The sequence below is a fragment of the Homo sapiens genome, chromosome 1 (assembly GCF_000001405.40).
Source record: "Homo sapiens chromosome 1, GRCh38.p14 Primary Assembly".
NCBI lineage: Eukaryota > Metazoa > Chordata > Mammalia > Primates > Hominidae > Homo > Homo sapiens.
Window position 1 is genome coordinate 248886262 of NC_000001.11, and position 26256 is coordinate 248912517.

General features: G+C 43.0%; 1 protein-coding gene across 7 annotated transcripts in view, besides 7 other annotated features; it reads left to right on the plus strand.

Moving 5' to 3' along the window:
• PGBD2 (piggyBac transposable element derived 2) overlaps positions 1-26256 on the plus strand; it is a 57341-nt gene that overhangs the window by 13411 nt on the left and 17674 nt on the right. For 4 of the 7 annotated variants that reach the window (XM_047417845.1, XM_047417849.1, NM_170725.3 and 1 more), the window contains exon 1: positions 19974-20081. The exons of 1 other annotated variant lie outside the window; for it this stretch is intronic. The gene's annotated coding sequence lies outside the window, so the exon portion shown is untranslated. 2 more of the 7 variants (XM_011544159.3, XM_047417844.1) reach the window with 1 other exon arrangement.
• Positions 3158-3614: a transcriptional cis regulatory region, noted in NCBI's record as "candidate enhancer chr1.12989 targeted for multiplex CRISPR interference". NCBI's record gives its function as "positively regulates ZNF672 gene expression with high confidence in K562 cells {active_cell/tissue: K562}" and the evidence as "EXISTENCE:mutant phenotype evidence [ECO:0000015][PMID:30612741]".
• Positions 3809-4103: a silencer, noted in NCBI's record as "tiled region #4184; K562 Repressive DNase matched - State 5:Enh". NCBI's record gives its function as "represses a minimal TATA promoter and a strong SV40 promoter by Sharpr-MPRA in K562 cells {active_cell/tissue: K562}" and the evidence as "EXISTENCE:reporter gene assay evidence [ECO:0000049][PMID:27701403]".
• Positions 9611-9793: a silencer, noted in NCBI's record as "fragment chr1:249190071-249190253 (GRCh37/hg19 assembly coordinates)". NCBI's record gives its function as "represses an EF-1alpha promoter that drives an FKBP-Casp9 reporter gene in an ReSE screen in HepG2 liver carcinoma cells {active_cell/tissue: HepG2}" and the evidence as "EXISTENCE:reporter gene assay evidence [ECO:0000049][PMID:32094911]".
• Positions 19604-20525: an enhancer, noted in NCBI's record as "H3K27ac hESC enhancer chr1:249200064-249200985 (GRCh37/hg19 assembly coordinates)". NCBI's record gives its function as "activates a minimal SCP1, AML or CMV promoter by ChIP-STARR-seq in naive H9 embryonic stem cells {active_cell/tissue: H9 hESC(naive)}" and the evidence as "EXISTENCE:reporter gene assay evidence [ECO:0000049][PMID:30033119]".
• Positions 19860-19919: a silencer, noted in NCBI's record as "silent region_2054". NCBI's record gives its function as "represses an Ori minimal core promoter by ATAC-STARR-seq in GM12878 lymphoblastoid cells {active_cell/tissue: GM12878}" and the evidence as "EXISTENCE:reporter gene assay evidence [ECO:0000049][PMID:35858748]".
• Positions 20050-20239: an enhancer, noted in NCBI's record as "active region_2889". NCBI's record gives its function as "activates an Ori minimal core promoter by ATAC-STARR-seq in GM12878 lymphoblastoid cells {active_cell/tissue: GM12878}" and the evidence as "EXISTENCE:reporter gene assay evidence [ECO:0000049][PMID:35858748]".
• Positions 20330-20419: a silencer, noted in NCBI's record as "silent region_2055". NCBI's record gives its function as "represses an Ori minimal core promoter by ATAC-STARR-seq in GM12878 lymphoblastoid cells {active_cell/tissue: GM12878}" and the evidence as "EXISTENCE:reporter gene assay evidence [ECO:0000049][PMID:35858748]".

Sequence of the window (26256 nt, forward strand, 5' to 3'; positions counted from 1 at the left end):
AATATCACCAGCCTGATACTTGAGTGTACATTATTCATAGAAATATCATTATCTAAATCAGTCTTAGGGTGATCACCTAAATGAGTTCTCACCTCTGGGACTAATTGCTTTCTTGTGCTGAGAAGTGAGGATGACTGTTGATTTAGTACAAGAGATTAATTACTTTCAGAGCTCCTTCAGAGATCATTTGTACTCCATCTGAAAGATTGATCTGTTTGAATTCAAATTATACCACTGAGATATTGAACAAAAAGCAGCTAAAGAGAAGAAAAATATCTTCCTAGACATTGGGATAAAAGGTGGGGGTTGGGGAATCTGATTTTCATGTTGGAGAATTGCATTTTTGGAGTTTAAACTGCCCAGCTGCCCTTAGACTCATCCTGGACTCTTGCCATTTGCTTCCTCTGCCTGGGGAGACAGCACTTTGTGAATGCATGCTCCAGCTGTGTGGCCCCAGCCTGGTCTTCTGGGAATGAGGAATGTTGGCAGGAGTTGAGGGATCACCATAATAAGCTCTTATTAACTGGCGTTTCTTGGGATTCTCTTTGGAGGGTTCAAAAGGAAACTTTAAAAGCATTTACTTCCTGTGATAAAGCAGTCAACAGCAAACCTGTAGTGAAAGGATCACAGGTTTCCAAAGAGCAAGCTAATTAGAAAATCTCAAGGGGGTAAAACTCTGCAGCATGCCAGTGGTTTGGCTGCCCATTATGATATATATTGTACTCAGGATTACAGGATATATAATATTTATGTATGTTTTTATGCATGCATATGTATATGTATTTGTTATACACACATAAGCTTACTATTTATTTTGAAAATATTTTAGACTTATAGAAAAGTTACAAAAATTATAAAAAAATATAGCCTTCACTCAGCTTATCCTAAGGCTAACATTTTACCTGATCATAGTATTGTTTCCAAAACCAGAAAGTTATCACTGATACAACGCAATTGACTAAAATACAGGCCTTACTCAAATTTCCCCAGCTTTCTCACTAATGTCTAATCCAGGATCCCAAATTGCATTTGATTGACACATCTTCTTAATCTCTTTCCATCTCTGATGGTTCCTCAGTCTTTCCTTGTCTTTTTTGACCTGGACGCTTTTTAGGAGTTCTACTCAGTTGTCTTGTTGAATGGCCCTGAGTTTGAGTTTGTTGGCTGTTTGTTCATTATTAAATAGAGGACATGCATTTGGCAAGAGTGCCACAGAAGTTATATTGTACGCTTCCCAGAGCATTATATCAGGAGGCATATAATACCAATCCATCTTGTTAGTAATGATGTTATTCTTAATTAGCAAAAATGAGTTTTCAGTTAGGAGATGATGGGAGCGAAACACACCAAACCAGTAGAATGCTCCAGTCTGGACAAGAAACTGGCTTGATGGAAGGCAATGGCTTTGTAAAAAATTTAATTTTAATTTTAGATTCAGGGGGTACTTGTGCAGGTTTATCATTAGGTTGTGGCAAAAGTGATTGCGATTTTTGCCATTACGTTCAATGGCAAAAACCACAAACACTTTTGCACCAACCTAACACAAGGGCAGATTGTGTGATGCTGAGCTTTGGGCTTCTGTTGATCCCATCACCCAAACAGTGGACATAGTACTCAATAGGAAGTTTTTCAGCCCTTGCTCCTCTCCCTCTCTGCCTCCTTTTGGAGTCTCCAGTGTCTGTTGTTCCTAACTTTATGTCCATGTGTACCCAGAGTTTAGCCCCCACTACTAAGTGAGAACACATGATATTTGCTTTTCTGTTTCTGTGTTAATTCACTTAGGATAATGACCTCCAGCTGCATACATGTTGCTGCAAAGGACATAATTCTATTCTTTTTTTATGGTAGTGTAGTACTCCATGGTATATATGTACCACAGTTTCTTAATGCAATCCACCGTGGATGGTCATCTAGTTGATTCTATATCCATGCTATTGTGAATAGTGCTGCAATAAACTTATGAGCGCAGGTGTCTTTTTGGTAGAACAATATATTTACCCTTGAATATATACCCAGTAATGGGATTCATGGGTTGAATGGTAGTTCTAGGTTCCTTGAGAAATCTCCTAACTGCTTTCCACAGGGGCTGAACTAATTTACATTCCCACATAAGTATTCCCTTTTCTCTACAGCCTTGCCAGCATCTGTTATATTGTTACTTTTTAGTAATACTCATTCTGACTGGTGTGAGATGATATCTCATTGTGGTTTTGATTTGTATTTCTCTGATGATTAGTGATGTTGAACTTTTTTTACATATTGGTTGGCTCTATGTCTTCTTTTGAAAATTGTCTATTCATGCCCTTTGCTCATTTTTTAATGGAGTTGTTTTTTGCTTGTTGATTTGTTTCAGTTCCTTATAGATTCTGGATATTAGACCTTTGTCAGATGTATAATTTGTGAATATTTTCTCCCATTCTGTAGGTTGTCTGTTTATTCTGTTGATAGTTTCTTTTTCTGTGCAGAAGCTCTTTAGTTTAATTAGGCCCAACTTGTCAATTTTTGTTTTTGTTGCAATTGTTTTTGAGCACCTAGTCATAAATTATTTGCCAAGGCGAATGTCCGGAAGTGTATTTCCTAGGTTTTCTTCTAGGATTTTTTATAGTTTGAGGTCTTACATTTAAATCTTTAATTCATCTTATTTTTTGTATATGCTGAGAAGTAGGAGTCTAATTTCATTCTTCTGCATATGGTTAGCCAGTTTTCCCAGCACTATTTATTGAATAGGGAGTCCTTTTCCCATAAACACTGGCTTTGATGCATTCTAAGTGTTTCTTACTTTTGACTATGACTTATAATAGCAACAATAACAAGAATGATAAAAATAAAAAATGAAATACATGGGCCGGTAACTGTGGCTCACGCCTGTAATCACAGCACTTTGAGAGGCCAAGGTGGGCAGATCATGAGGTCAGGAGTTCGAGACCAGCCTGGCCAACATGGCGAAACCCCATCTCTACCAAAAATACAAAAATTAGCTGGATGTGGTGGTGCGTGCCTGTAATCCTAGCTACTCAGGAGGCTGAGGCAGGAGAATCGCTTGAACCTGGGAGGCAGAGATTGCAGTGAGCCAAGATCATGCCACTGCACTCCAGCCTGGGTGACGGAGCGAGACTTCTCCGTCTCAAAAAGAAAATAAATAAATAAATAAATAACACTTACTGAGCCGGACACTGTACTAAATGTTTTCCGTTTAATATTGTTTTCATTTAATTCTTACGACAAATTATGAGATAGGTACTGAGAGAGCAGGAGCACCGTCATCTCAAACAAACACTGCAAGCTCCCTTTCTAGCTTCATGCATTTCAAGGAAATCACTTATCTTCTAACTACAAGCAGCCAGAAAAGAGCAGACAGTAAAACACAGATAAGGCAGCTCGGGGACAGGGAAAGGAGGGGAGGAAGTCTCTTAGGTAACTGCCAAACTTCACCCTCATACACTGGAGCCCCAGTAAAACAGTGGGCCTTAATAAGCACATTCCTTTCCCTTCAGGTGCTCTAAGACAGGGAAGCTAAAGGCAGACTCGGGGGATATGCTTGCAGCTGCAGAAAAATGTATGGGAACAGACACAACTCTCCCTCCCAGATAGGCAAAACAAAGAGTCACAGAAGCAGTCCAAGCCTCTGATAAACTCTCCCACCCTGAATCCTTTTCTTTTTCTTTTCTTTTTTTTTTTTTTTTGAGACGGAGTTTCGCTCTTGTTGCCCAGGCTGGAGTGCAATGGTGTGATCTCAGCTCACCACAACCTCCACCTCCCGGGTTCAAGTGATTCTCCTGCCTCAGCCTCCCAAGCAGCTGGGATTACAGGCATGCGCCACCACGCCCAGCTAATTTTGTATTTTTAGTAGAGACGGGGTTTCTCCATGTTGGTCATGCTGGTCTCAAACTCCCGACCTCAAGTGATCCGCCTGACTCAGCCTCCCACAGTGCTGGGTTACAGGCGTGAGTCTCTGCACCCGGCCTGAATCCTTAAAAACTCTTACTCTGCAAGAGTGCAGCTTCTGCCCTAACTAGGTCAGAAGTCCCCACAGGTTTGTTTTCTGAAATAAACCTGTCTTCTGTCGAGCCACCCTTCATCTTTCTCTCCTCTTTCTTTAATTCTTACAGGTACTATTATTGTGTTCACCGTTTTTATGCGAAGAAACAGATGCAATGGGATTAGGAATCTTGCCCAAGGTCACAAAGTTCCTATGAGCCAGTGTCAAGATGCAAGTTTAGGCTGCCTGGCTCCTGACTATTCTACACAAACCATGTGGTCTCTTACCAGTCTAAGGGCTACAGAAGTAATCCATGTCATGAAAGGACTCAGCCCACTTACAATCACTCACCCCACACACTACATGCACCACACACATACCACATCATACACATTATACACACACCACACATACCACACCTCACAGATACACACATGCACCATACACACCAACACCGACCCCCACACACACCCACACCCAGCTACGCTACAGACCACCCACACTACACATTATACATTACACACCCCGCACACCACACATCACAGATGCACACACGCACCACACACCACACACACAACATACACCACACACACCCACACACACCACACACCTCCCCACACATCCACAGCCCCCCATCACACTGCAGATGCTATGCATCACAGATACACACATGCACCACACACCACACCTCCCCACCCCCGACACAGCCACACCTCTCTACACACCACAGACATCACACATCACAGACACACACATTCACCACCCACCACACACCCACAATATACACGCAGGCATGCACATACCACTCACAAATCACTCACGCACTGACGCATGCATGGTAACATAGACATACACTCATGGTTACATAACTGAAAAAAAGTTATGCAAACAAAATGTGTCTCTGTCAGATGTGTTGCTCCAACATTTTGTTTTGTCTTTCATTTTATTTTTTAGAGTGCTGGACACTGCCCACTACATTAATGGTTCTCTCAAGGTGGGGCAGCCCTGCCTGTAGCCAACTAGACTGAGATAACAGTATTAGCCTCTTCTCTACAAATCCAATTTGAGGCCAGACAACAGAGGGAACTCGGTGGGTGAGGACAGTGTAGACTGGCTGTGCTGTAGATATTTTTGAGAAAATTTGTGATTGTGAGTGGGGCATATGGGTTATACTTTTTGGGTTTCATGATATAAATTTTGAGAATGCTTGATTCAATGATTTGTCATCTCTTTTGCTTAATAAGAGATATATACTTTGATGAAGAGCCACAAGAGAATGTCTAAAGTACTTTTAAGAAATATTTTTGGGCCAGGCACAGTGGTGCACACCTGTCATCCCAGCCCTTTGGGAGGCTGAGGCAGGTGAATTGCGTGAGCCCAGGAGTTCAAGACCAGCCTGGGTAACATGGCAAGACCTCATCTCTACTAAAAATTTAAAAATCAGCCAGGCACAGATGCCTGTATTCCTAGGTACTAGGGAAGCTGAAGCGGGAAGATGGCTTGAGCCCTGAAGGTTGAGGCTGCAGTGAGCCAAGATTGAGCCACTGCATTCCAGCCTGGGCAACAGAATGACAGCCTGTCTTTTTAAAAAAGAAAAAAAAGTGTTTTTGAAGAAAAGTCCAATCTCTTGTAAATAAAGTCTTTATAGCTAATTTATACTTTCTAGGTAATGACTAACACAATGAAAACTAAGCTCTTTATGAAGTCTTTGCAGTAAAGGGTTGATTCAGCAGAAAAAAAGGCGTCGCCTGTGTCAACCCCAAATAACCAAAAGGATCAGAATCTAGTTTAAAGAGAGTTTATTCAAGCACAAAGTTGAGGACAGGCCTGCCTGGGAAGCACAGATTCCAAAGAATGGAAGTCAGTGCTCCAAACTGTAGATTTGAGATTGCTTATATAGACAAAGCATGGGGAAGTTTAACAGACTTTCAACATCTTTCTATATAAGGGTTAATGCATAGTTACAACAATCTGAGTAGGTCAAGGTAGTCTTGTTCCTTCCTTCCCTCCCTCCCTCCCTCCCTCCCTCCCTCCCTTCCTTCCTTCCTTCCTTCCTTCCCTTCCTTCCTTCTTTCCTTTCTTCCTTTTACTTTATTTCTTTCTTTGAAAGGCATATTTAGCATTCTACCCTGACGATGTAACGGTCATAGAGGGACTTGGGTGTCATCTGGTCTGAGTTAGTTACAGGACAATAAAGGAGGCAGTTAATCTAAAAAAAAAAAATCAGTGATTGGATGGAGGCGTGAAGGTCTGGTTTCTGGTCTCCTAGTCATTTATAGAACAAGAATAAAAATGAAGAGAGTTAAGCTGTAATCTAAGAAGCACAACTGTAAACATTCTATGTGATTCAATCTCTGGGACTTAACTTCTCCTTTGGCATAATATATTTAGAGGGTCCTGAAATTTTCTTTTCTTTCACACCTGGCTATTAAGAAGCTACCTCTAAGCCCTTGGAATATCCTGCCTGATAAAAGTGTTTTTATTTACTTGCAGCTTGGGCTACCCCAGACAGTCTATGTGAACAATATGATTTATGGTGTGGGCCTTGACTCATGCAGTACCAGCTTGACCTTTGGATGGGTTGGAGACTCAGGCTAACCACTCAGGTAGTCAATCATATCTATTTGACTCACCTCTGAGAGAAACTCTGGACACCCAGGCTTGAGTGTCCTTCCCTGGTTGACAATTGTCTATATGCATTGTCATACGTTGTTGCTTGGAAAACTAAGCACTGTCTATACAACTGCACAGGGAAAAGACAACTGGAAGTCTGTTGTGGTCTTTTCTGGATACTCTATATGTTTTACCTTTGGTCATTTATTTTTCCCAGATTTATTGAGGTATAATTGGTATCCAGAAAATGGCACATAATTAATGTATACAATTTGGACATAGGTGCATACTCATGTTACCATCACCTCAGTAAAGGCAATGAACACATCCATCAATTTCAGAAGTTTCCTTTTATCCCTTTGTTGTTGTTTTCGATAAGAACATTCAACATGAGAAAAATCCTCTAACATTTTTAAGTGCACAAAACCTTATTGTTAACTTACGCACTATGTTGTACAGCAGTTCTTCAGAACTTATGTTATGTAACTGTAACTTTATATCCATTGAATAACAACTCCCCATATCCCTCTCCCCCATCTCCTGGTAACCAGGATTCTATTGCCTACTTTTTATATGTTTGACTATTTTAAATACCTCATATAAGAGGAATCAGGCAGTATCTGTCGTACTGTAACTGACTTATTTCATTTAGTATCATGTCTTTCAAGTCCATCTAAATGACTGCAAATAGTAGGATTTCCTTCTTTTTAAAAGGCTGAATAATATTCTGTTGTCTGTATGTTTGTGTATACACATGTGCATTTTCTTTATCCACTCATCTCTCAATGGACATTTATTTGGGTTGTTTCCATATCTTGGCTATTGTGGATAATGCTACTATCAATGGGAGTGCAAATACCTCTTCAAGATTCTAATGTTTATTCTTTTGGCTACATACCCACAAGTGTTATTGCTGGATTATTTGACAGTTCTAGTTTAAGTCTTTTTTTCAGGAAACTCCATTCTATTTTCCATAATAGCTGTATTAATTCACATCTCCACCAACAATGTATAAGGTTTCCCTTTTCATTACATCTTTGACAACATTCTTTTCTTTTTTGTTAATTGATTGATTGATTAAAGACATTCTAACAGGTATGAGATGATATTTCACTGTGGTTTTGATTCCTGTTTCTCTGATGATTAGTGATGTTGAGCATCTTTTTATATGTCTGCTGGCCCTGGCCATTTGTAGGTCTTTGGAGAAATGTGTGTACTCAGGTCCTTTGCTCATTTTTATATCAGGTTATTTTTGTTTTTGCTATTTATAGGAGTTCCTTATGTTGGAAATTAACCCATCATCAGATATGTTCTTTGAAAATATTTTCTCTCATTCTTTGGGTTGTCTTTTTATTTTATGGGTTGTTTCCTTTGTAATGCTGAAACTTTTTAGTTTGATATAGTCCCACTTGTCTATTTTTGGGTTTTTTTTGTGGTTTTTTTTGCCTGTCTTTTTGCTGTCAGATATATGAAATCATTGCCTGGACCTAGAAAAGTCAAGGAGCTTTACTTCTATGTTTTCTTCTAGGATTTTTAGGGTTATATAACTTACGTTTTAGTGGTTAATCCATTTTGAGTTAATTTTTGTGTATGGTGTAAGACAAGACTCCGATTACATGCTTTTGGATGTGGATATACAATTTTCCCTATTTATTGAAGAGACTATCATTTTCCTATTGTGTATTCATGGCACTCTTGTTAAACATCAGCTGACAATGTATGCATGGGTACCTTTGCTGATTTTAACCTGTATTCTTTCACTTTAATAAGTCAAAACTCACTGTAATGAATATACACATTTTCTTTTTTCTTCTTTTTCCCTTTCTTCCCTCCCTCCCTCCCTCCCTCCTTTCTTTCTTGCTTGCTTGCTTGCTTGCTTGCTTTCCTTTCCTTCCTTCCCCTTCCCCTTCCTCTTCTCCTTCCTTCCTTTTCTCTCTCTCTCTTTCTTTCTTCTTTCTTAGATGAGGTCTCGCTCTGATTGTCACTGGCTGGAGTGCAATGACACAATCATAGCTCACTGCAACCTCAAACTCCTGTGCTCATGTGATCCTCCTGCCTCAGCCTCCTGAGTAGTTGGGACTCCAGGTGTGTATGGCCTGCATCTGGCTATTTTGTTGTTGTTGTTAATTTTTTTAGAGATGGGATCTTGCTATGTTGTCCAGGCTGGTCTCTAACTTCTAGTCTCAAGCTATCCTCCCAACTCAGCCTCCCAAAGTGTTGGAATTATAGGCTTGAGCCATCACACCCAGCCTATAACAACTTTTCTGAGTTCTGTAAGTCCTTCCAGCCAGTCATTGAACCTGAGAGTGGTCTTTGGGTCAACCAACAACAGGCCAATGTTTGGGAACTTAACAAAGAGAAAGAAGCCAGAGGAGTGTGACTGTGGCCACAGTCTGGTTTTCCTCTGATTTCACAGGGACCAGTCCTGCCCACAGAGTGCTAGGCCTCCTCTTTGGTGGTGAGTAGCCCCCATATTTGTGGCTATACTGCCAGCCCAACCTGGCACACAAAGAGGAGGAAGGACAAAGAGGAGGAAGAAGGTCTGAGTAGCAAGGGTTCTGCTGCTCAAGGAAGCAAGACTACCTTTAAGAATTGGCTCCTGTTCTGTTCCCCAATCCAATAATCATCCTCGTGTCTGGTGCTGTTAGACATTTAAGGAATTAAATATCTTAATGATATTTAAGGCTTGCAGGGTATTTTTTTTTCTTCATTATTTTGGAGGAAACAGGTGGTTCTTGGTTACGTGGATAAGTTCTTTAGTGGGATTTCTGAGATTTTGGTGCACTAAGATTTTGGTACCTGAGCAGTGTACACTGTACCCAATGTATAGATTTTTTTGTTTTGTTTTGTTTTTAGACAGAACCTTGCTCTGTCACCAGGCTGGAGTGCAGTGGCGTGATCTTGGCTCACTGCAACTTCCGCCTCCCAGGTTCAAGCGATTCTCTTGCCTCAGCCTCCCAAGCAGCTGGGACTACAGGCACGTGCCACCACGCCCAGCTAATTTTTGTATTTTTAGTAGAGACAGGGTTTCACCATGTTGGCCAGGATGGTCTTGATCGCTTGACCTTGTGATCCGCTCACCTCGGCCTCCCAAAGTGCTGGGATTACAGGCATGAGCTACTGCACCCGGCCCACTGTATAGTCTTTTATCCATCACGCCCCTCCGACCCTTCCCCCGCCCCGAGTCCCAGAAGTCTATTATATCATTCTTATGCCTTTGCATCCTCATAGCTTAGCTCCCTTATAAGTGAGAGCATACAATATTTGATTTTCCATTCCTGAGTTACTTCACTTAGAATAATGGTCTTCAACTCCATCCAAGTTGCTGCAAATGTACGGCTTGCAGTTTTATGCAGTTTTAAATAGGCTCCCTGGTTCTCAGGCCGTTGACTCAAATTGGAATTACAACACTGGCTTTCCTGGGTCTTCAGCTTGCAGACAGCAGATTTTGAAACCTCTTAGTCTCCATAATCCATAAGCCAATTTCTCATAAATCTTTTCATATATACATATATATATATATTCTCTTGGTTCTCTTTATCTGGAAAACTCTAACTCTCACAATCATGCATACGTTTATCATTCCTTATGGATATTCTTTTTCTTTTAGAGATGGGGTCTTGCTCTGTCACCTAGGTTGGAGTGCAGTGGCACGATCACAGCTCACGGCAGCCTCAAGCTCCTGGGCTCAAGCAATCTTCCTGCCTCAGCCTCCTGAGTAGCAGCACACCTATAGCTCCAGCTGCTTCTAATTGGCCATCTTGGCCCCTCCCTCCTACAAAAAACTTTTAGAGGGAAGGGACAAAATTACTGATTAGAAGCAGCTGCAGTCTTCAGCGCTCACCAAGAAGAATGAAAATGGTAAGTGCATTCTATACCTTCAACTGAGATATCCAGTTGATATTGGATGCTGGCTAGGCAGTGACCCATGGAGAGCAAGGAAAAGCAAGGTGGGGCGACAGCCCACCTGGGAGCTGCATGGAGCAAGGGGATCGCCCGCTCCCAGGCCAGGGAGGCCGTGAGGGATTGCACTACCCCACCCAGGAAATCACACTTTTCCCATGGATCTTTGCAACCCATAGATCAGGATGTAAAAAGTAAAGTAGAGGTTCCTCTTCAAAGATTTTCCTCCCCATTTAATTAGGAATAAATAGTAACTTCTCTTAGAAGCAAAATTTATTCAAAGACCTGTGCTAACATTCTTAAATATCTGCTAGCCGTGGTAAAGAAATCAAAGTACTTTATGTCACAATTTAGCCTAAATATTTGCCCTAGCATGCTTATGCTGGTCCAAGCAAGCATTAGGTGATAGCCTGTTCCTCTTCCTTATGTGAAGGTGCTTTTTACCTTTCTCAGCATTCCACCAGTTACTTCCTCCTTCCTTTGTTCCCCTCTACCTTTGCCTCTTTAAGAAAGTTCTAAGTTGCTAGCCGATCGGAACAAATACAGGATGTGAGGTCCCGTGCCAGCCGATGGAAACCAGACACAGCAGTAGGGTGGATGCGTCAGGTTATAAATGACCCTGTCTTCTTTGTTTGGTGTACTCTCATGGCAAAACTGCTGGCAAGCATACCTTTTCTGCAGTAAGTAAAAATGGCCTTGCTGAGTAAATTAAATGTATGTTCAAGTGCTATTTCTTTACGGCACTGGGGAGCAAGCATTTCAAACAAGGAGATTCCTTCTTGAGCCTATGCCACCAGGGCCTTGGGTCCCAGGCACAGAGCTGTGCAGACCTGGTGGCCACTCCAGTCAGCAGCTGCTCGGGAAGGCACAGAGATGCAGGAGTTTTTGCATGCTGAAGCTTGAAAATTCCTGTGAGGCAGGAGATCTGTCTGTTCCTGTAGGAAGGGGGCTGAAGCCAGGAACCCAAGGGGCATCTTTCAGTGGGCTCCACTCCCACAAAACCTTACCAGCTAAGACCCACTGGCTTAGAAATCCCCATGGGCCAGTGGCAGCGACTGGAGACTGCCTGAGATGACCGAGTTCCTGGGGAAAGGGGCAGCTGCCATCTCTGCAGCTCCAGTTGGCTATTTTGCCCTCCTAATGCTGGGGAGACTGGGTGGTTTGGACCGGGAGGGATTCCCCACAGTGGAGCTCAGCAGCTACGGCAGGTTGTGGCCAGATTGCTTCTTTACATGGGACCCCGACCCATTCCTCCTCACTGGGTGGGGCCTCCCTGTGGGAATTTCAGCAACTCCAGCCAGGGTTTAATGGACAGAACTCTGATCTCCCTGGGATGCAGCCCCTTGGGGGAGGGGCAGCCATGGTCTCTGCAGTTCAGCCGACAGCCTTTCCCGCCTGCTGGCTTTGGAGAGTCTGGGCAGTCCAGATGACAGGGGTTCTCCCCAACAGTGTACCAACTCCACCAAGGGGCAGCCAGACTACTTCTTCAAGCAGGTCCCCCCAATCCTATCCCTCCTGACTGAATGAGACCTCCCAACAGGGGTCTCCAGACACCTCCAGCAGCATTTGGGCTTGAATCAGGTCAATGTTCCTCTGGGAAGGAGCAGGCTGCCACCTTTGCTCTCCTGACCTCATGATCCGCCCACCTCGGCCTCCCAAAGTGCTGGGATTACAGGCGTGAGCCACCGCACCTGGCTCAACATTTTTAAAGAAAAGAATTTCAAACCCAGAATTTCATATCCAGCCACACTAAGCTTTATAAGCAAAAAAGAAATAAGACCCTTTTCAGATGAGCAAATGCTGAGGGAATTCATCACCACCAGGCCTGCCTGGCAGGAGCTCCTGAAGGAAGCACTAAATATGGAAAGGAAAAACCGTTACCAGCCACTACAAAAACACACTGAAGTACACAGACCAACAACACTATGAAGCAACTACATAAACAAATCTACAAAATAACCAGCTAGCATCATGATGACGGGAACAAATTCACAAAGAAAAACATTAACCTTAAATGTAAATGGGCTAAATGCTCCAATTAAAGGACAAAAAATGGCAAACTGGATAGAGTCAAGACCCATCAGTATGCTATATTCAACAGACCCATCTCACATGCAGAGACACAAATAGGCTCAAAATAAAGGGATGGATGAAAATTTACCAAGCAAATGGAAAACAGAAAAAAGCAGGGTTTTTTTGTAGTTTCTGACAAAACAGACTTTAAACCAACAGAGATTAAAAACACAAAGAAGGGCATTACATAATGGTAAAGGGTTCAATTAAACAAGAGGAGTTAACTATCCTAAATATATATGCACCCAATACTGGGGCACCCACATTCTTAAAACAAGTTCTTAGAGAGTTACAGAGAAACTTAGACTCCCCTACAATAACAGTGGGAGACTTTAATACCCCACTGACAATATTAGACAGATTATAGAGACAGAAAATTAACAAAAATATTCAGGACCTGAACTCAGATCTGAATCAAGTGGATCTTATAGATATCTACAAAACTCTCCACCCAAATTCAACAGAATATACATTCTTCTCATCACCACAAAGAACTTACTATAGTTGAACATGTAATCTGAAGTAAAACACTCCTCAGCAAATGCAAAAAACTGAAATCATAACAGTTTCTCAGAACACAGTGCAATCAAATTAGAATTCAAGATTAAGAAACTCACTCAAAACCACACCACTACGTAGAAATTGAAAAACCTGATCCTGAATGACTCCTGGGTAAATAATAAGGCAGAAATCAAGAAGTTCTTTGAAGCCAATGAGAACAAAGAGACAACACACCAGAATCTCTGGAATGCAGCGAAAGCAGTGTTAAGAGGAAAATTTATAGTACTAAATGCCCACATCAAAAAGCCAGAAAGAGCTCAAGTCAATACCCTAACATCACAAATAAAAAACTATCCCCAAAGCTAGCAGAAGACAAGAAATAACCAAGATCAGAGTAGAAATAAAGGTGATAGAGACATCAAAAACCCTTAAAAAAATCAGCAAATTCAGGAGCTGTTTTTTTTGGGAAAAAAAAAAAAAAGTAAAATAGATAGACTACTAGCTACACTAATACAGAAAAGAAGGAGAAGAATCAAATAGATATAATTAGAAACAATAAAGGGGATATCACCACTGACGCCAATGGAAATATGAACAACCATCAGAAAATACTACAAACACCTCTATGCAAATAAACTACAAAATCTAGAAGAAATGGATAAATTGCTGGATATATACACCCTCCCAAGACTGAACCAGGAAGAAGTTGAGTCCCTGAATAGACCAATAATGAGTTCTGAAATTGAGGCAGTAATAAATAGCCTACCAAAAAAAAAAAAAAAAAAAGCCCAGGATCAGAAGGATTATAGCTTAATTCTACCAGAGGTGTAAAGAGGAGCTGGTAACATTTCTTCTGACACTATTTCAAACAATTGAAAAGGAGGGACTCCTCCCTAATTCATTTTATGAGGAAAGCATCATCCTGATACCAAGACCTGGCAGAAATACAACAACAACAAAAAAACAGAAATCAGGCCAGTATCCCTGATGAACATCAATCCAAAAAATACTCAATAAAATACTGGCAAGCTGAATCCAGCATCACATCAAAAAGCTTATCCACCATGATCAAGTTGTCTTCATCCCCAGGATGCAAGGTTGGTTCAACATATACAAATCAATGTATGTAATTCATCACATAAACAGAACTAAAGACAAAAACCACATGGTTGTCGCAATAGAAGCATAAAAGATCTTTGATAAAATCCAACATCCTTCATGTTAAAAACTCTCAATAAACTAAGTATTGAAGAAAATACCTCAAAATAATAAGAGCCATAGATGACAAACCCACAGTCAATAGCATACTTAATGGTCAAAAGGTGGAAGGAATCTTTTTAAAAACTGGCACAAGACAAGGATGTCCTCTCTCACTATTCCTATTCAACATGGTATTGGAAGTTTTGGCCAGGGCAGTCAGACAAGAGAAAGAAAGAAAGGTTATTCAAGTAGAAGAGAGGAAGTTAAATTATCTTTGTTTGCAGGTGACATGATCATATATCTAGAAAACCCCATTGGGTCAGCCCAAAAGCTTGTTAAGCTCATAAGGAACTTTAGCAAAGTCTCAGGATACAAAGTCAGTGTATGAAAATCACAAGCATTCCTATGTACCAAGAACAGACAAGCAGAGAGCCAAACCATGAATGAACTCCCATTCGCAATGCCCACAAACAAAATAAAATACCTAGGAATAAAGCTAACAGGGGAAGTGAAGGACCTCTTCAAGGAGAGCTACAAACCACTGCTCAAGGAAATCAGAGAGGACACAAACAAATGGGAAAACATTCCATGCTCAGGGATAGGAAGAATCAATATTGTGAAAATGGCCATATTGCCCAAACTAATTTATAGATTCAATGCTATTCCTATTAAATTGCTATGGACATTTTTCACAGAAATAAAAAAATATATTTTAAATTTCATATGGAACCAAAAAAAAGTCCTAATAGCCAAGACAATCCAAAGCAACAAGAGCAAAGCTGGAGGCATCAGGGTACCCGACTTCAAACTATATAAGAAGGCTATGGTAACCAAGACAGCATGGTACTGGTACAAAAATGACACATAGATCAATGGAACAGACTAGAGAACTCAGAAATAAGACTGCACACCTACAACTATCTGATCTTTGATAAACCTGACAAAAACAAGCAATGAAGAAATAATTCTCTATTTAACAAATGGTACTGGGAAAACTGGCTAGCCATATGCAGAAAACTGAAACTGGACCCCATCCTTACACTTTATACAAAAAATAACTCAAGATGGATTAAAGGCTTAAATGTAAAATCCAAAACTATAAAAACCCAGAAGAAAATCTAGGCAATACCATTCAGGACATAGACACGGGCAAAACCTTTATCACAAAAACGCCAAAAGCCATTGCAACAGAAGTGAAAACTGACAAATGGGATCTAATTAAACTAAAAAGCTTCTGCACAGCAAAAACAAAACAAAGCAAAAAAACCACAAACCATCATCAGAGTGAACAGACAACCTCCAGAATGGGAGAAAAATTTTGCAATCTATTCATTTGACAAAGGTCTGATATCCAGAGTCTACAAGGAATAAAAACAAATTTACAAGAACAAAAACAAACAGCCCCATTAAAAACATCATTGATCATTAGAGAAATGCAAATCAAAACTATAATGAAGGCTGGACGAAATGGTTCATGCCTGTGGTCCCAGCATTTTCAGAGGCCAAGGCAAGCGGATCACTTGAGACTAGGAGTTCATGACCAGCCTGGCCAACATGGTGAAACCCCATCTCTACTAACATTACAAAAAATAGCCAGGCATGGTGGCACACACCTGTAGTCCTAGCTACTTGGGAGGCTGAGGCAGGAGAATTGCTTGAACCCAGGAGGCGAAGGTTGCAGTGAGCTGAGATCGTACCACTGCACTCCAGCCTGGACAACAGAGCAAGACTCCATCTCAAAAAAAAAAAAAAACCTATAATGAGATACCATCTCATGCCAGTCAGAATGTCAGTTATTAAAAAGTCAAGAAACAATAGTTACTGGCAAGGTTGCAGAGAAATCAGAATGCTTTTACACTGTTGGTTCAAATGTAAATCAGTTCAACCATTGTGAAAGACAGTGTGGTGATTCCTCAAAGATCTAAAATCAGAAATACCATTTGACTCAGCAATCCTATTACTGGGCATATACCCACAGGAATATAAATCATTCTATGATAAAGATACCATGCATGCATATGTTCATTGCAGCACTACTCACAACAGCTAAGACATGTAATCAACCCAAATGCCCATCAGTGATAGACTGGATAAAGAAAATGTGGTACATATACAACATGGAATACTATGTAGCAATAAAAAGGATTGAGATCATATCTTTTTGCAGGGAGATGGATGGAGCTGGGAACCATTATCCTCAGCAAACTAATGTAGGAACAGAAAACCCAACACCACATGTTCTCACTTATAAGTGGGAGATGAACTATGAGAACACACAGATGGGGCAGTGGGGGTGGGGTGGCGGGGAACAACACAGTGGGGCCTGTCAGGGACCTATGGGGAGGGAGAGCATCAGGAAAAGTAGCTAATGCTTGTTAAGCTTAATACCTAGGTGATGGGTTGATCTGTGCAGCAAAATCAGCATGGCACATTTACCTATATAACAAACCTGCACACCCTGCACACGTACCCCTGAACTTAAAATAAAAGCTGAAGAAAAAACAAGTTTTTTTGTAGAGATGGGATCTTCCTATATTGCCCAGGCTGGTCTCAAACTTCTGTGCTCAAATGATCCTCCTGCTTTGGCCTTCCAAATTTCTGGGATTTCAGACATGAACCATTGCTCCTGACTCCCTATCAACTAATTCTTAACTTTAAATTTATTTTTATTTTTTGTTTTCTTTTAGAGACAGGGTCTCATTCTGTCACCTAGGTTGGAGTGCAGTGGCATGATCATAGCTCATTGAGGTCTCAAACTCCTGGGCTCAAGCAGTCCTCCTGTCTTAGCTTCCTGAGTATCTGGGGCTACAGGTGTGTACCATCACACCTGGCTAACTTTAATGTAGCATAGTCTTACTATGTTGCCCAGGCTGGTCTTGAACTCTTGGCCTCAGGCGATTCTCCCACCTCAGGCTTCCAAAGTGCTGGGATTACAGGTGTGAGCCACCACTGCCCAGCCTGATTCTTAACTTTATGCAGGACATCAAATCCTTAATCATACATAGTGCGTCAAATCAATTCAATTGTCATCGGAATGCATGCCACCTCCATATCATTTATTAACAAGCAAGCTTCAAGAAACCAGCAATCTCTTCTTATCCTGGACCCATTAATCATGGGCGCTTGGGAGTTCTAGCCTGAAATTATTTGGCATCTGGTTCTTTCTTCAGGTCCAGCTCACCTGATATCTCTAGTAATTTCCTTAACTAAAATATCCTGATGGACTAATGAGTATTTTCTCATAATTCCATACAACTGTGGTTTCATGTATGTGACATTCTTAATTGTTGGGTAGGCTGTGATACTGCTATGGCTGTCAAAAACTTTAATGTAGTCAGCAACTTGTAGCTGAGCTTTAATTGCTGCTATGTACTAACATCATCAACCATAAGGTGTTATTTAGTCAATGCGACATGAGAATTTTTATATGTAAAGTCTCACCCCATACATACACACAAAGACATGTACAGGTGAAATAAACTAAATGAAATAAATTAATAAATATATAAGTTTAATTCCCTAAGTCCATTTTCTTCTTTTTATGTTTTTTTTTTATTTGTTAACTCCCTAAAGCAAGATAGTATCTATAAACAAACTAGGCTGCAAGGCTTTTATGAAATTTACTCATAATACACATAATTTAAATATTTTCCCCAATTTTTTCCTTAAAGCTTATTTAGCCTATTTCTCAATTAAAGAACTTCAAAATATGTATTTTCCTCAAAGGATTCTAGCTTAACGGGCTAAATTTTTTTTTTTTTCCCAATTCCTATCATGCAGTTCTTCTGCCATTCTACCCCAAATTTGACATTGTTTTCAAAGATTTGACTTTGTTTTTAAACGTAGCTTTATTCAAAGCAATGCACTGAAAATGTCTAGATGGACTCTTTGCAGCTCCATAAACACTTACACTTGGTCCCGATCTTTTTATTAACTTTAAATTACATATGCAAGTATCCAAATTGCAGTGAGAATTCTCTCTGGATCATAAAGGTATGGAAGAAACAGCCAGCAAGCACCTTATTACTCCTTGTTGAACTCACCCCCTCTTTGACCTCATTTCTTTGACTTTCTTTTGTCTCCAGCCATTCTCAAATGTGCTAGGCTTGCTTCGCCTCAGAGCATTTGCACATGCCATTCTCTCTGCTTCAAATATTTTCCCCCTTGAATTCTGCATGGGGAATTTGCTCTTCATATTCTTTGGCTTTTCCCTCAAATACAACCTTCTCACTTACCAACCTTCCCTGACCAAATTATTTAAAACTGAATTCACAACAGTCTTATTGGTCCCCTTTGCTTCCTTTATTTTCTTCCTAGCACTTTCCACTTTGACATGCCATATATTTTGTTTACTGTCTGGTTCTCCCACTGAAATGACAAGAGGGTTTTTCTCTTGTGCCTTTTCTTTTTCACTGTTCTAACATCACTGCTCAGAGGAGTGATTGTCACAGAGAAGACACTCATTTAACACTTGAATGAATGAATGAGACACAGGATCTGGGGAACAAAGCAAGTTAGAAACACCACCCTACCTTACCTAGAGTAGCACTCCCATTTTCCCATGGCTTATTGCCTGTTTTCTCAATTTGCTCATATGTGGAATGAATGACAAACTAATACGTGCCCTTCACTTCAGAATCTCACAAATGAGCATGATTTTTTTCTTCTGATCCAGGGGTTTTGGAACACACTTTACAGTGACCAAAAAACCTTTGTGAAGTGTCAGTGTGGAGAAGCAAATACAAACTCTTCACTAAGTGGCCCTCTTTTTGAATGTTAACACGGTTTGGTCCCAGGGATTTCTGTGTTCAAAGCCTTTCAGGGCAAGGCAGTTTTCTGCGGAGTACACTGTCCTATATACCTAATGGGCTACTGGGTTTCAGCTGGACAAAGTCCTTATAGAGCCGTGATTCTCAAGAAGTAGGGGGAGATACTTTTATTTGTCATAACTAGAGTGGAGAGAGTGTGGTGTGCTACTGGCATTTAGTTGCTAGGGATGCTCAATATCCTACAATTAAGGTTCTATTTTTACCAAGTAAAAATATAGGTAGGCAAGGTAGCCAGATGAAATACAGGGACTTCCAGTTAAATGTGAATCTTAGATGAACAACACTGTTACCTGAAACTCAAATTTAACTGTATTTTATCCGTGACCCTGCCTCCTATAATGCACAGGACAGCCTCCTTCCCTCTCAACAAAGAATTATCCAGGCCCAAAATGTCAAGAGTGGAGGTTGAGAAACCCTGCCATACAGCAGTGGTTCTCAAGCCCTAGTTTGTACCACAATTACCTTCAGGGTTGGTAAGGCCGATTATTGGGCACACCCTCAGAGTTTCTTACTCAGAAGGCCTGTAGTGGGGTCCCAAGATTTGCATTTCCATCGATTTCCCAGGTGAAGCTGCTGTTAGATTGGGGGCACATTTGAGAACCACTACCCTAGAAAGTCCCCATGCTCTCCTGATTAGGAAGGAGCGAGGAAGGTTTCCAAAGTAGGACAGGGGTGGGAGGGTAAGGGAGAGTGGCGGGAAGAGCTGGCCCGCTGGGGTGGGTTATTTCGGCCGTTCTGGCCTCGCAGGCGTTTTCGGGATCCCTCTAGGCGCCGCGGAGGTCCTGGAGTCTCGATGGTCGCTCGGGCCGGGGCGTGGCCTGGCCCGGGGGCGTGGCATGGAAGGCCGGCCGAGGTGCAGCGAGCCCTCTGGTGCCGGACGTTGCGCGGCCGCGACGCCCGACGCCAACGCAGGCGCAGCGCTCCGATTCGGCGCGGCTCATGGTCCGGTTCGGGCTCGCGAGTCTCCGTCTGGGGTAGGGCAGGTAGGCCTCAGTGTGCTCGCGCTGCAGGCAGGGCTTCGCTTGAGTACAGGAGTGGTTGGCGTTGATGTTGCGTTTTCTCAACGGCGGCATCCGAGGAGTTCGTCCTCACCACTGCGCGCCGACGGTGGGCTGGCGGGACCAGGACAGGAACAATGGGATTCCGAGGGCCGCAAGGGGGCGCTCCTTCTGCGGGTTGGGGTGCGAGGCCGGAGGCCGGGCCGGCTGAGCGGGAGGCGGAGCGGGGTGGGTGGGGACCAGGGCGGGGTCGGGCTAAAGAGGGATGGATTCAGGGCGGGGTGGGAGGGACCAGGGCAGGCTCGGGCGGGGTGGGCGGGACGAAGGAGGCGGGCGGCCTGAGGCTGGCGGCGGGACTGCGAATGCCACGTCACATCCTGGGGCGGGGTGGCTCTGTGCCGGGGCGCGCTGGGGGCGGGTCGTTTTTAACTGCGTCTGCCTGGGAAGCTGCTGAGGTTTCTGAGGGTCTTTGTTTGCCCTTCTTTCTCTTTTGCTAGTGAGGTGAAGAGAAGGGAGGGTTCTTCCGTATCCCACAAAAGCCATTCTGAGCTGTTGGGTGAAGGGGTGGCCTGCCCTTCCACACCTGTGGGATATCTTGTCAGGTGGGAGGAGAGACTGAGAAAAGAAATAAGACACAGAGACAAAGTATAGAGAAACCACAGTGGGCCCAGGGGACCGGCACTCAGCATACCAAGGACTTGCACCAGCACCGGTCTCTGAGTTCCCTCAGTTTTTATTGATTATTGTTTTCATTATCTCAGCAAGAGGAATGCGGTAGGAGAGCAGGGTGATAAGGAGGTCAGCAAAGAAACATGTGAGCAAAAGAATTTATGTCATAAGTTCAAGTGGAGGTACTATGCCTGGATGTGCACGTAGGCCACATTTATGTTTCTCTCTGCCCAAACATTTCAGTGGAATAAAGAATAACAGGGCAGCATTGCTGCCAACATGTCTTGCCTCCTGCCATAGGGCAGTTTTTCTCCTATCTCAGAATTGAACAAATGTACAATCAGGTTTTGTACGGAGACATTCAGTTCCCAGGGGCAGGCAGGACACAGTGGCCTTCATCTATCTCAACTGCAAGAGGCTTTCCTCTTTTACTAATCCACCTCAGCACAGACGGGTGTCGGGCTGGGGGACGGTAAGGTCTTTCTCTTCCCACGAGGCTGTATTTCAGACTATCACATGGGGAGAAACCTTGGACAATACCCGGCTTTCCAGGGCAGAGGTCCCTGTGGCTTTTCATGGTGCATTGCGCCCCTTGTTTATTGAGACTAGAGAATGGTGATGACTTTTACCAAGCATACTGCTTGTAAACATTTTGTTAACAAGACATGTCCTGCACAGCCCTAGACCCCTTAAACCTTGATTCCATACAACACATGTTTTTGTGAGGTCAAGGTTGGAGCAAAGAGGTTGGGGCAAAGTTACAGATTAAGAGCATCTCAGGGCAAAGCAATTGTTCAAGGTACAGGTCAAAATGGAATTTCTTATGTCTTCCCTTTCTACATAGACACAGTAGCAGTCTGACTTCTCTTTCTTTTCCCTACAGTTAGGCACCTGGCTCAGCTTTGGGGCATTTACATCTATAAAATGTCTTTTGAATAATTTTTATCTTGAATTAATTTCAGAGTTTCAGAGTGTTGTGAAACAAGCAAAAATTCCCATGTACGGTTCGTCTGGATTTCCTAGGGGTTAACATCTTATTTTACAAAACAGTCAACAAAACCAGGATATTAACACCTACAGGCCTTATTCGAATTTCTTTACTCTCACCTATTTCCATTTTGTAATTTAGGTTCCAAGACAGCATTTAGTTGTCCTGTCTTTCCTTGGAGAAATTTACATTTTAAACAGCAGCTCTCCCACCTCCCAATCCCCTAGGACCCTTTAGAGTGGCCTGGGGAGCTCCAGGTCTCACACCAAGTTGCTTTTTCTTTGTTGAGTGCCTGGGCCAGTTCAGTTGAGAATGCCCAGTTGGACCTCTGGGCAGCTCGTGACCACCCTCTGCTCTTCCTCCCAGTGCTGCTAGGCTTAGTGAATGGCACCTCTGTGCACCAGCCATAGGGTGCCTGAAATCTAGGAGGCTTCCCCGATCAGCTTTCTCCCCTGCCCTACCCCCTCAACCAATTATCCAGGCTTGATGGTTTTACATTTTAAGTCCTCCTTAAGTGTGTCCATTTCTCTCCATAGGCCCCACCCTTTTGCCGTAGCCTTTTTGTCCATCTCCCTGCATCTATGTTGGGGCCTGCATACTCAGTTGTCCATACTGCACCCAGAATAAGCTTGTTAACATACACCCTTCCTTCTGTTATGCTCTTCCTGTATTTTTTTTTTTTTTAAACTTCCCATAGCTCTTATAAAGACAGGCCTCCTTAACAGGGTCTTCAAGTCTCTGCAGGGCTGGTACAGCCTCTTGTACCCTGTCCCGCAGATTCCTTACTCTGGCGTCACTGCTTTGCTTCTCCTGTGCTGTGCCTTTTGCCTGGGGTGCTATTCCCTGCCTGCTGAGGGAATTGTTACTCTTTCTGCAGCTCTCCATCATTTTGTCTTTTCCTCAGGGAGATATTCTCTGACCTCCCTGACTAGATCAGTTTCCGTTTTACGGGTTTTGATAAACACCTCCTTTCCTTCTTAGCCCTGTCATAGTTACAATTTTATGCATATATACCTGGCACCCAGTAGATACTTCAGATGTTTGCCAAACGAATGAAAAAGTGATAGTGTGGCTGCCTAACAGCCTCTATCTAGACATTATTCCCTTTGTGAGTTTGCTTGGTATGTAGGAGCACTGGTTACCCATGTCCTCTTCCTCTGTTGGTTGTCTCAGGCAGGGCAAGAAAGATGGAGGAGCCACATGTGAGGGGATGGAGGGCCTGGGGAGCACAGTCTACAGACTCCTGAAAGGTAGAATGGGTTTTTGCTGAGCTTCTTGCGTATGTATCCCCCTCTGACCTGGTTGAGTCCACTGTATTAGATTCTTCACTGACAGGTATTTCCTATGCGTGGTTTCAGAGACTCTTTTAGGAGTATATTTTAGTTAGGGTCAAGCATATATCAAGAGCTTCTGGTTCTTTTCTAAATAGTTGTCTCAAAGCCAAATAGTAAAGATGAAAATGAAAGTCTGCAGCAGGTTGAGATGGACGGGGTGCCCTGGAGTGTGGCCATTTGGCTCTGTGGCATGATTAATTTGGTTCAGCGAGTATTTATTGAGGGCCTGCTGCATGCCAGATGCCATGTTGCCTTTTGGGGATACAGAGGTGGGGTCGACCTGAAGATGGATTATTAATTTCAGTCTATTGTGGTGAAAGCTGTGGTAAGAGGAAGACTTGATTGGAAGCTTGATGGATGAGAAAGACATTGCAGGGGATCCCATAGGCAGGGAATGGCACCCCAGGCAAAAGGCACAGCACACAAGAAGAAAGCAAAGCAGTCAGGCCAGAGTAGGGAACCTGAGGGAGACAGGATACAAGAAACTGGACCAGCCCTCAGGAGTGGTCTGAACCTAGAGGCAGAACTGGGTCGGGATGAGGCTGGGGACCAGGCTGTGAATGGCTTTGATTTTATTTCAGAGCTTGGTTGGCAAGTTCTTGGTAGGCTGTGAAGATGGGCTCATGCCCTAATGGCTGGAGGCTGTCAGTCTGTATGTTAGCAAGTGGATGGGGCCAGCCTAAGGCACAGTGGAGGAAAAGGTGGTAAACTGCTGAGAGGTGAAGCAACTGTGACATGGTAACACAAGTCAGGCTTCTTGACCCAAACCTGGCTGGACCTGGGGAAGAAGTCAGACTGTTTGAGTTTTATCAGTCATACTGATGCATCCTTAATCAAACATAATTTCTGCAGCAAAATGTATGGATATTTATAGTAACAGAATTAGACATTATGAAGAGCCTCAGGTCAGTCCAGGTTTTGCTGCCAAAGAGTTTGTTGCAAAGTTTTGAAAGAAAGTTCAGTTTTTAAACCATATTTGGCTTTTGGAATTGCAGGTGAGGGGTTTTGAACCTGAAATTATAGTTAACACTTGGGAATCCAGGCCTGTTGTGTCTGCTTTACACACATTGACTCTTACTGTTTTCACAGTGCAGTGAGGGTAGGTACCATGATGATCCCATTTTACAGGTGAAAGACAAGGGCACCAGGAAGTCTCTTTGGTAAGTGACTTTCCAAAATCGCACAGCTCATCGCTGGTGGCTCCATATTACACATTTTTCCTGGGCTACAGACTTGTGAAAGGGGGTGGGGAGAGATTGAGGGACTGAGGTCTTTCTTCTGCACCTCACACACCTGGCATCTGCCTGCAGCAAGCCTGCCTTAGTGCCAAGAAGGTCAGAGCAGAAGGGGAGCTGGAGCCCCACAGACATCACAATCACACACTTGGATTTACTGAAAGCCCATGGGGACTCATGTCTGTGATTACTGGAGCTTATGATCTAATCAGGTGATGAGCTTTTCTCACAAGCCATAGAGGAATTTGTTTTTTTTTTAACAAAAGAAAAAAACAGCTTTATTGTGGTATAATTGACATGCAACAAACTGCGTATATTCGAAGTGTGTAATTTGATGAGTTTCGGCATGTGACCACACCGTGAAACCACCACCACAACCAAGATCCTGAACATATCCATCATCTCCAAGAGTTTCCTCCTGCCCCTTTGTAATCTTTCCCTCCCAGCCCTATTTGCCCCCCCATCTCGAGCACCCACGAATGTGTTTTCTGTTACTATAGGTTAGCTTACATTTTCTAGGGTTTTCTTTTCTTTTCTTTTTTTTTTAGTATTTATTGATCATTCTTGGGTGTTTCTCGGAGAGGGGGATTTGGCAGGGTCATAGGATAATAGTGGAGGGAAGGTCAGCAGATAAACATGTGAACAAGGGTCTCTGGTTTTCCTAGGCAGAGGACCCTGCAGCCTTCTGCAGTGTTTGTGTCCCTGGGTACTTGAGATTAGGGAGTGGTGATGACTCTTAACGAGCATCCTGCCTTCAAGCATCTGTTTAACAAAGCACATCTTGCACCGCCCTTAATCCATTCAACCCTGAGTGGACACAGCACATGTTTCAGAGAGCACAGGGTTGGGGGTAAGGTCACAGATCAACAGGATCCCAAGGCAGAAGAAGTTTTCTTAGTACAGAACAAAACGAAAAGTCTCCCATGTCTACTTCTTTCTACACAGACACGGCAACCATCCGATTTCTCAATCTTTTCCCCACCTTTCCCCCTTTTCTATTCCACAAAGCCGCCATTGTCATCCTGGCCCGTTCTCAATGAGCTGTTGGGCACACCTCCCAGACGGGGCGGCTGGCCGGGCAGAGGGGCTCCTCACTTCCCAGTAGGGGCGGCTGGGCAGAGGCGCCCCTCACCTCCCGGACGGGGCGGCTGGCCGGGCGGGGGGCTGACCCCCCCACCTCCCTCCCGGACGGGGTGGCTGGCCGGGCGCTCCCCCAGCAAATTTTAAAGCACCCTCTGGGTGCTCTACTTCCTCTGTCCACTAACTGCCACTGTTCTGGGTGCAGCAGGGAGACAGAGAAGGATATGACACCAGGTGGGAGAGTTATTGGAGATGCGCAGAGAGGGGTTGTTGGTCTATTCTTGCGGTTGTAAAAGTGGCCCAGAGTGAGTTGTCCAGGGAAATTAAAATGCATAGAAAGTTTAATATCTTAAAATGAGAAGTTAACTTGAATCAGCTGTCCAGGTGGCTTGCCAGCAGTCATCACCATTTTGAAAATATTGGCATGGGGTCCCTGTGGTGCTGAGATATTTCCTTAGCTGGAATCCTTGTGGAAACTCCCATCATCATTGTGTGCATGTGCAAATCCCCCTACTCCTATAATTAATTTCTGTGAGCTCTGGATAAACAGGGATGCTTCCTGACTTCTGTTTGCATTTCCCCCCAGTATTACTGCATTTTATCAGTTTACTGACAGGGTCAGGGCGACTGGTTTTCCATTAAATTATTCAAGCGTGACTGTCTAATCTCCTGGAAAACTAATTAGATGCCCTTGGACACTAACACTTTCTAAATCTGTTGTGATTTTGTTCTGCATCGCTGGGCAAGTCACTTCTTTCCATGCCTCAGTTTCCTCAATGGTTAAATGGGGGTTACTACAACCTCAAGAAGATATGAAAGGACTGAAATGCATTGACATCGGTAAAAATGCTTAA